Source organism: Homo sapiens, chromosome 10 (assembly GCF_000001405.40).
Source record: "Homo sapiens chromosome 10, GRCh38.p14 Primary Assembly".
In the NCBI taxonomy this organism is placed as follows: Eukaryota; Metazoa; Chordata; class Mammalia; order Primates; family Hominidae; genus Homo; species Homo sapiens.
The window spans coordinates 38,452,431-38,460,634 of NC_000010.11; the positions used below are offsets into that span (position 1 = coordinate 38,452,431).

Consider the following 8,204-nt stretch of genomic DNA (forward strand, 5'->3'; position numbering starts at 1 on the left):
TGAAAAGCTCTGAAGGTCCCACAATTCATGGTATGTACAGGGGCTCAGAGGAGGGAAACTGCCCAGTTTTCCCCCGGCACAGCTGCAGGGGTAGGGGGTATAGATAAGAGGAGCAGGCCTTGGCCAGGCGTGGTGGCTCACGCCTGTAATCCCAACACTTTGGGAGGTGGAGGCAGGTGGATCACGATGTCAGGAGATCGAAATCAGCCTGGCCAAGATGATGAAGCCCCGTCTGTACTAAAAATACAAAAATTAGCCGGACGTGGTAGCGTGCACCTGTAATCCTAGCTACCCGGAAGGCTGAGGCAGGAGAATGGCGTGAACCCGGCGGGAAGAGGTTGCAGTGAGCCAAGATCGCACCACTGCACTCCAGCCTGGGCGACAGAGCAAGACTCGGTCTCAAAAAAAAAAAAAAAAAGAGGCAGGCCTTATTCCGTCCTAAACTCTTTACCTGGGAGAAGATAACCATCCTGCCCTCCATTGCTACCCCCACATACTGTCCATGTTCTCAGGGGGTACTGTGAGTCCTGGGATCTTCTTTCGGGTCAGCCACGTGCCTGTGGTAGTTATGGAGACCCCCAGGTGTTGAGGCAGGGCTGGGGTGTCCCCTTCCAACCAGGCTGTCAAGGCCCCAACTCTGGGGCAGAGGCAGTGGCAGGGCAGCCAGGGTTGCCCCAGAGCCTGAGCAGGGTGAGGTGGGGTCAGGCAGGGCTGGGAGTCAGGGCAGGGGCAGCAGCAGTGGACCCGCTATGCACACATCATCTTCTCCAAGGTTTGTGTGCAGAATATCCTGCCCATGCTGCCCCAGCAGCTTCAGTTGGCACCTGCCCCAGTCCAGCCTCTGGGAACCATGCAGTGGCTCCCAGCGGCCCTGCAGCCACCACCAGCATCCGTTTCACCTGCAGTTGAAGATCCGTGAGGTGCCCAGAAGATCATGCAGTCATCAGTCCCACGGAGCAGCCCGCGAGGCTGAGGCTCCTCCCACTGGACCGCCCCCCAACTGGCACCACTGCTGCCCCTGCCCCTACTCTCAGCCTCATGTGACTCTCGGGCAGAGACAGTGGTGGGGCAGCCACGGCAGCGTCAAAAGTCTGAGCCAGGTGAGGTCCGGTCAGGACCCCCACAGGGCTGGGAGTCAGGGCAGGGGCAGAACAAACCTTGGAGTGGAAGATGTGTGCATAGTGGGCCTGGAGGGTGGCTGTGGCCTAGTGGACAGGAAGAAGCAGTGGGCCTGGAAGAGCTGCATGATCAGGGCCGGCACTGGTCCAGGGCGCGTGCAGTGAAGAGGACAGTGCCTTCTCGGTCTCCGGTTCCCTGAGCCTGTCCTCGGCTTCTCCACCTGTACAGGCAAAGGGGAAGCTGTCCCCATCACACATGGCACACTTGGGGGTGTTGGGCTTTGGGCTGCAGCTGGAGCATCTTCTCATCTTGCGTTTGGGCGTGGTGGGGTCTTCCAGTGTGGGATCCATGTCCGTGGGGTTCCCTCTGCCCCGACCCCGAAAGACCAGTCAGTTTCTCTTCAGGATCTGCCCCCCGGGTGGCTCAGCCCAGCTCCTGCCTAGGAAAGCCTTAGTGTTGGGAGGGACCCTGATGACTGAGGAGCCTGGTAGCTCCAGGTCGCCCACACTTTCAGGTCTCTTGCACCAGAAGGTGGCGGGATCCATTGGGAGGAAACAGGTCGCCTTGGAAGGCATCCCTGGGCCCCCATCCCCAGGGGTAGGGGCCGTAGGGGGCCCACTCTGCTGCCTTGACCAGACTCCTGGGCTTCGAAGGCTCCCGGGCCCAGTAAGAAGGAGGTGGGTGCCAAGGTTGAGGAGGAAGCATCCGAGTATGTGTAGGAGGAGGACAGGGTGGGACCATAGACTTTGCCAAAAGCTGCAGGTGGATCGGGGGACCCTGGGGGCTCAGGATCCAGCAAGGGGCAGCAGGAGTAAAGGAGGAAGGAATGACAGGTGCAAATACCTTCCCACCAAAGCCCTTGTTGCCCTGTGGCTCCTCCCCAGAGTTGTCCCCACTCTGTCGGTCACTCACTCCTTGAACTTGAGATCGGTGTCAGTGGTGCTAAAGCCATCATCAGCAATGACATCATCACCCCCTCCTCCTCATGGATGATCGTGTGCGCCTCATCACTCGCTATGTCCTCACTGGCCATGTGCTGGGAATGAGCAGCTCAGGTGGGCAGCAGCAGGGCTGCCCACTGGTCACCTCCCTCACCAGGGGCTGCAAAGTGGCCTGGAGCTCCATACTGAGTAGAAGGCTTTGGGCCAGAGTATGATGCATTGCCAGACACCACCTGTGTCAGTTCCTGTAGTGCCTGATGATCTATTTCCCTGCCATCCAGGCTGTGTACCCCCCTGTGGGAGAAGGCTTGGGCCAGGCTGAGCTAGGTTCCCTGACTGTGTGCAGCCGTTCTGCCCCACAGAAGCTGCTCCTTGGTATCCGAGCTCTGGAGTGTTTGGGCTGCAACTGACAGGAATTCAGAGGACACCCCAGGGGCAGTGGCAGTGCCCGTCTCTGATATGCTCCACTCCCACGAGCCCTTGTTACACTCCTGCTAGCCCCTGGCTTGTGAGCTTGGCCTCTGAGCTGGACTTCTTTCGGTCCTTGTTGCAAGTGGGCCACCTTCACCTGGAAGGCCAGGTCGTGGTATTTCTGTGTCTCATTGGGCCCCAGGGTGTACCACCACTCGTTCAGCATCTGGCTGACAGTCCGGTTATCCTGGTTGGGGTGACCCTGGTGTGCCCTGCCAGGGCCTGGTGCCGCTTGCTGAAGATCATGACCGCCACTCATGGGCCACTGGATGTGGTCCTTGTCCCATTTGTTGGGGCTGCGTCCATCCTTCTCAGAAGATGAGTCCTGTTCCTTGCGCAGGGCACTGAGGGACTGGGCCTGACATCATCTGAGTGGTAGAGGCAACTGGGTGTCAGGAGACATGATGGAGAGGAAAGCATCATCATGGTCATTCTCTGTCTCACTGTACAGCAGGGACTCCCCTGAGGGGCCCAGGGCTCCTCCTCCATGGTGGGAGGTGAGCTTTTACCAGGTTCCACCACCCCCAAAATGTGTGGGGTTGCGGGCCCTGGGCTTTCAGGGCAGGTGGCTCCAGGGAGCCACCCAGGGTCAACACTCCCCGTCCCACCTGGTGGATGCTCATGAGCAACAGCTGCCAACTTGGCAGGTTGTTTTCTCTGGTTGGAGGCCACTGAGTGACTGGCAGGTTGCTGGGCCTCGTGTGGCTGCAGGGAGGGGTCAGGAAGGGGATGGAGTACCAGGGGAACACGGCCACAGAGTGACCTTCCACATTCCTCCACACAAACATGCTGAGGCCACGGGAGGCCTCACTGAACGCAGGCCTGGGGGCCGAGTACTTGGTCCGGGCAGGGGGTTCCTGGCAGGGGCTCACACCTCCTCGCCCCCTCCTCAGCCAAGGTGGCTTGGGCCCAGAGAAGGGGGGGTTGGAGAGGAGCAGAAGGCCAGGCCTCAAGTTTTATTTTTTTTTTGTTTTGTTTTTTGTTTTTGAAATGTAGTTTGACTCTTTTCACCCAGGCTGGAGTGCAGTGGCACGATCTCAGTGGCCTTCATACCTGGCTAGTTTTTTGTATTTTTACTGGAGGTGGGGTTTTGCCATGTTGGCCAGGCTGGTCTTGACCTCCCATCCTCAGGTGATCCACCCACCTCGGCCTCCCAAAATGGGATTACAGGCATGAGCCACCGCTCCCAACTTCATTCATTTTTACTTGAAAAACTCCGTTAAGCATTTTTTTAAGGTAGACCTAGTGGTCCTGAATGCCTTCAGCTTTGTTTGTCGAGGAAACACATTAGTTCTTCTTTCTTTCTGAAGGACAGCTTTGTCAGACATAGTATTAGTTGCTGGCAGTTTTTTTCTTTCAGCACTTTGAATGTATTATTCGATTCTGTCCTGACCTGCAAAGTTTCTTTAACTTTTGACTATTTGATTATATTGTGACTTGGTGAGTATCTATTTGGTTTGAACCTCTTTAGGAATCTTTAAGCTTCATGGATTTAGATGTCTAAATCTTTCCCATGATTTAGGCAGTTTTCAGCCATTCTTTAAATAAGCTTTCTTTTCCTTTGTCTACTTTCCTTCTCAAACTCCCATAACCTGACAATGGTTTGCCTAATGGTGTCTTGTTGGCTTTCTTTTCTCTGTCTTTTTTTTTCTTTTTTTTTTTTTTTGAGACAGAGTCGTGCTCTGTCACCCAGGCTGGAGTGCAATGTGTGGTCTCGGCTCACATTGCACTCCAACCTCCGCCTCCTGGGTTCAAGCGATTCTCCTGCCTCAGCCTCCCAAGTAGCTGGGACTACAGGTGTGTGCCACCACACCCGGCTAATTTTTGTATTTTTAGTAGAGATGGGGTTTTGTCATGTTGGCCAGGCTGGTCTTGAACTCCTGACCTCTTAATCTTCCTGCCTTGGCCTCCCAAAGTGTTGGGATTACAGGCTTGAGCCACCACGCCCAGCCTTCTTTTCTCTTTTTTATTCTTTTTTTCTTTGTCCTCTGACTGGATAATTTCAGAAGATCTATATTCAAGTTTACAGATTCTCTCTCCTGTTGAAGTTTACTATTGTGTTATATCACCCAGTCTGGTCTTGAACTCCTGGGCTCAAGCGATCCTCCCACCTTGGCCTCCCAAAGTGCTGAGTTTACAAGCATGAGCCACTGCATCCAGTCAGTCCCAGCACTTTGGGAAGCTGAGGTGGGAGGATCACTTGAGCTCAGGAGTTTGAGACCAGCCTGGGCAACATACTGAGAACTTGTCTCTATATTTAAAAAAAAAAAAGTCTTTGGGAGGCCAAAGCGGGAGGATCACCTGAGGTCAGGAGTTCGAGACCAGCCTGGCCAACATGGCAAAACCCCATCTCTACTAAAAATACAAAAATTAGCCAGGTGTGGTGGCACACGCCTGTAGTGGTGGTGCATGCCTGTAGTCTCAGCTACTCAAGAGGCTGAGGCAGGAGAATCACTTGAACTGGGAGATGGAGGTTGCAGTGAGCTGAGATTGCACCAGTGCACTCCAGCCTGGGCAACAGAGTGAGACTCCATCTTATAAAAGGAAAAAAGAAAAGAAAAATTCCATATCTGAATGTTTACTCCTGAGTTTTTGAGATTGCTATTAAGATCGTGCTCTACTGTGATGATTTGGGTTTGTTTGATAATCAGAAAAAAGCATATTCTTTTGGGTGTTCAGCCACACTGCTTTGGTGTCACAACTGCACATTGGTTTCAAGCTGGAGGACAAGTTCGAGCATCTTAAAATGATTCAACAGGAGGAGATAAGGAAGCTCGAGGAAGAGAAAAAACAACTGGAAGGAGAAATCATAGATTTTTATAAAATGAAAGCTGCCTCTGAAGCACTGCAGACTCAGCTGAGCACTGATACAAAGAAAGACAAACATCGTAAGAAGCAATAGTTTCTCTTACTATTCTGAGAGCCTTATCATTCTACATCCCATCTTCCTGTGAGATTGTCTTTGTAGCATTTAACTCTAATTGCAGTTCTCATTTTAAAAATTGGCTTGCTTATTGTATATTTTCCCCAACTAAAGCGTGAACTCCTAGCAGGGCGTGGTGGCTCATGCCTGTAATCTCAGCACTGTGGGAGGCCAAGATGGGTCGACTACCTGAGGTTAGGAGTTCGAGACCAGCCTGACCAACATGATGAAACGCTGTCTCTACTAAAAATACAAAAATTAGCTAGGCGTGGTGGCTGGGACCTGCAATCCCAGCTACTTGGGAGGCTGAGGCAGGAGAATCACTTGAACCCTGGAGGTGGAGGTTGCAGTGAGCAGAGATCTCACCATTACACTCCAGCCTGGGTGACAAGAGCAAAACTCCATCTCAAAAAAAAAAAAAAAAAGGGTGAACTTGAAGGCAGGTCCTGTGTCCATCTTTTCAGATTCTGTATCCCAGCACTTAGGACATAGACAAACACGAAGATGACAATCAATATTTGCCAAAATGAAAAAACAAAAGAAATATGTAACATCATGTAAAAGAAGATGGTTAGGTGGAGAAATTTCTTTACCATAGTCTTGCTTGTGGATCCAGTAGTGACTTTTACATTTTATATCTAAATAGAAGCTGGAGGCTTTGTTGGGACTCATAGGCATAAAATATTATGTTATTTATTATAGAGTTAAATGCTACAAAGACAAATCTAATTAATAGGCCTATTTTCCTTTTTAAATTCTACTCATAATTTCTTCATAGTTTTTATGATAAAAGGTTGGATTTTGATTAGAACTCCCATGCTTTTGTGTCAGAATTAAAACTGGTATTAGAATAAATAATTCAAAAGCTAGAGAAAGAGTACAATGAGAAGCCATGAGTTGCGTTTGAATTATAATATTATGTCTTACAGATTTGGGGTATATGCTAAAGTTACCAAAGTTGTAGAAAATAAGGCCGGGCATTGTGGCTCACATCTGTAATTCCAGCACTTTGGGAGGCCGAGGTGGGCAGATCATTTGAGGTCAGGAGTTCAAGACCAGCCTGGCCAACATGGTGAAACTCCGTCTGTACTAATAGTACAAAAATTAGCCAGGCGTGATGGTGTGCACCTGTAGTCCTTGCTACTCAGAAAGCTGAGGCAGGAGAATCGCTTGTACCCAGGAGGCAGAGGTTGCAGTGAGCAGAGATTGTGCCACTGCACTCCAGCCTGGGTGACAGAGTGCTATGAGTCACCACACCTGGTATGAGCCACTGTGCCTGGCCCACAATGACTTTTACACAAGTTGTTAAGTCATCTTACAGATTTTATAATTTGGGGGAAGAAAAGTTTTACTAAATGGTCTTTTAATGGAAACTCTACAAGAACCAGAATCTTTGCTTTGTTCACTTATGTATCTATTCCTAGGCCTAGAAAAATGTCTGACACATAGCGGCAATTATTCATTGAATAAATGGACCCAGCGATAGTACATTACCTATGCTATATGCATACATTAAAGATGTAGATTATCGACTTTCAAAAGATAATTAATGTAACTTCTTACTGCTTCTGAACATGTTTGTGAGTTATATTGCTGAGGGACCTTTATCTTCTCATTCTTTCATCTTAACCCAGTGTTATAAAATTGAAATCACCAATATTATTCCATATCTAAAATTAATATCTACCCTGTAAAAAATATCACTCTGCTGCATTTGAGAATAGACTTTTTAGGTAATAATGATGCAATCCATAGGGTTTTTTGGGGGCACAGAGGTATTCATGCTAACAGAACATTTTATTTTCTATTTTCCCAGAGCTGTAAAACATGAAATTAGGGTAGTATAAGGCATATTTTTACTCTTTTTATAATTTTTTCTAAAAAAAAATTAGTGTTTGTTCCCTATATAACTTTTAACTTTATAGGTAAATATTTGTCTCTTTCAGCTCCAGTTTTATGTGAAATAGAGTTTTCAGATTTATGTAGCATGGAAAGTTTTAATACGTCAGAGTTACTGATTTTTGCCTATCATTTTCTCAATTATTTCTTTTTTATCTTTAGTTGATTTTTTTGTAGTGACACATCTTGTTTCTAGTCTCATTTCCTTTTGTTTATATTCTATGTATATTTCATTTTTGGTTACTATGAGAATTACATATAACATCCTAGAGTTATAACATTTTAATTTGAATTTATTTCAACTTAAGTTCAATCACATACCAAAATTCTACTGCTATATATATAGCTCTACTCTTTTTATGTTATTGATGTAACAAATTATATCTTTATTCATTGTATACCAGCTAACAGATTTACAATTACATTTTATGCATTTGCCTTTTAAATTATGTAGAAAATAAAAAGCAGAGTTACAAACCAAAATTATAATAGGACTGTTTTTATATTTGTTTATGTATTTACCTTTACCAGAGAGCTTTGTATATTCATACAGCTTGCTTATTTATATAGTTATTGCCTAGAGTTCATTTATTTCAACCTGAAGGACTTAACACTTCTTGAATGGCAAATTCAGGGATAAATGGATTTTTTTTCAGTTTTAAAAAAAAATCCAGAAATGTCTTAATTTCTTCCTCATTTTTGAAGGATAAGTTTTCCAGCTATAGATTTCTCAATTGACAGGTTTCTTCATTATTTTAAATATATAATCCACTGCCTACTGGCCTTCAAGGTTTCTGCCGAGAAATCAGCTGCTAATGTTATCTGGATCCCTATCTGTGAGAGTTGCTCTT

General features: G+C 47.4%; 2 pseudogenes; one reads left to right on the top strand and one right to left on the bottom strand.

Annotated features, from left to right (window-relative positions):
- On the bottom strand, nucleotides 1,577-3,409 carry CICP9 (capicua transcriptional repressor pseudogene 9; annotated as a pseudogene).
- SEPTIN14P10 (septin 14 pseudogene 10) lies at nucleotides 5,249-7,836 on the top strand (annotated as a pseudogene).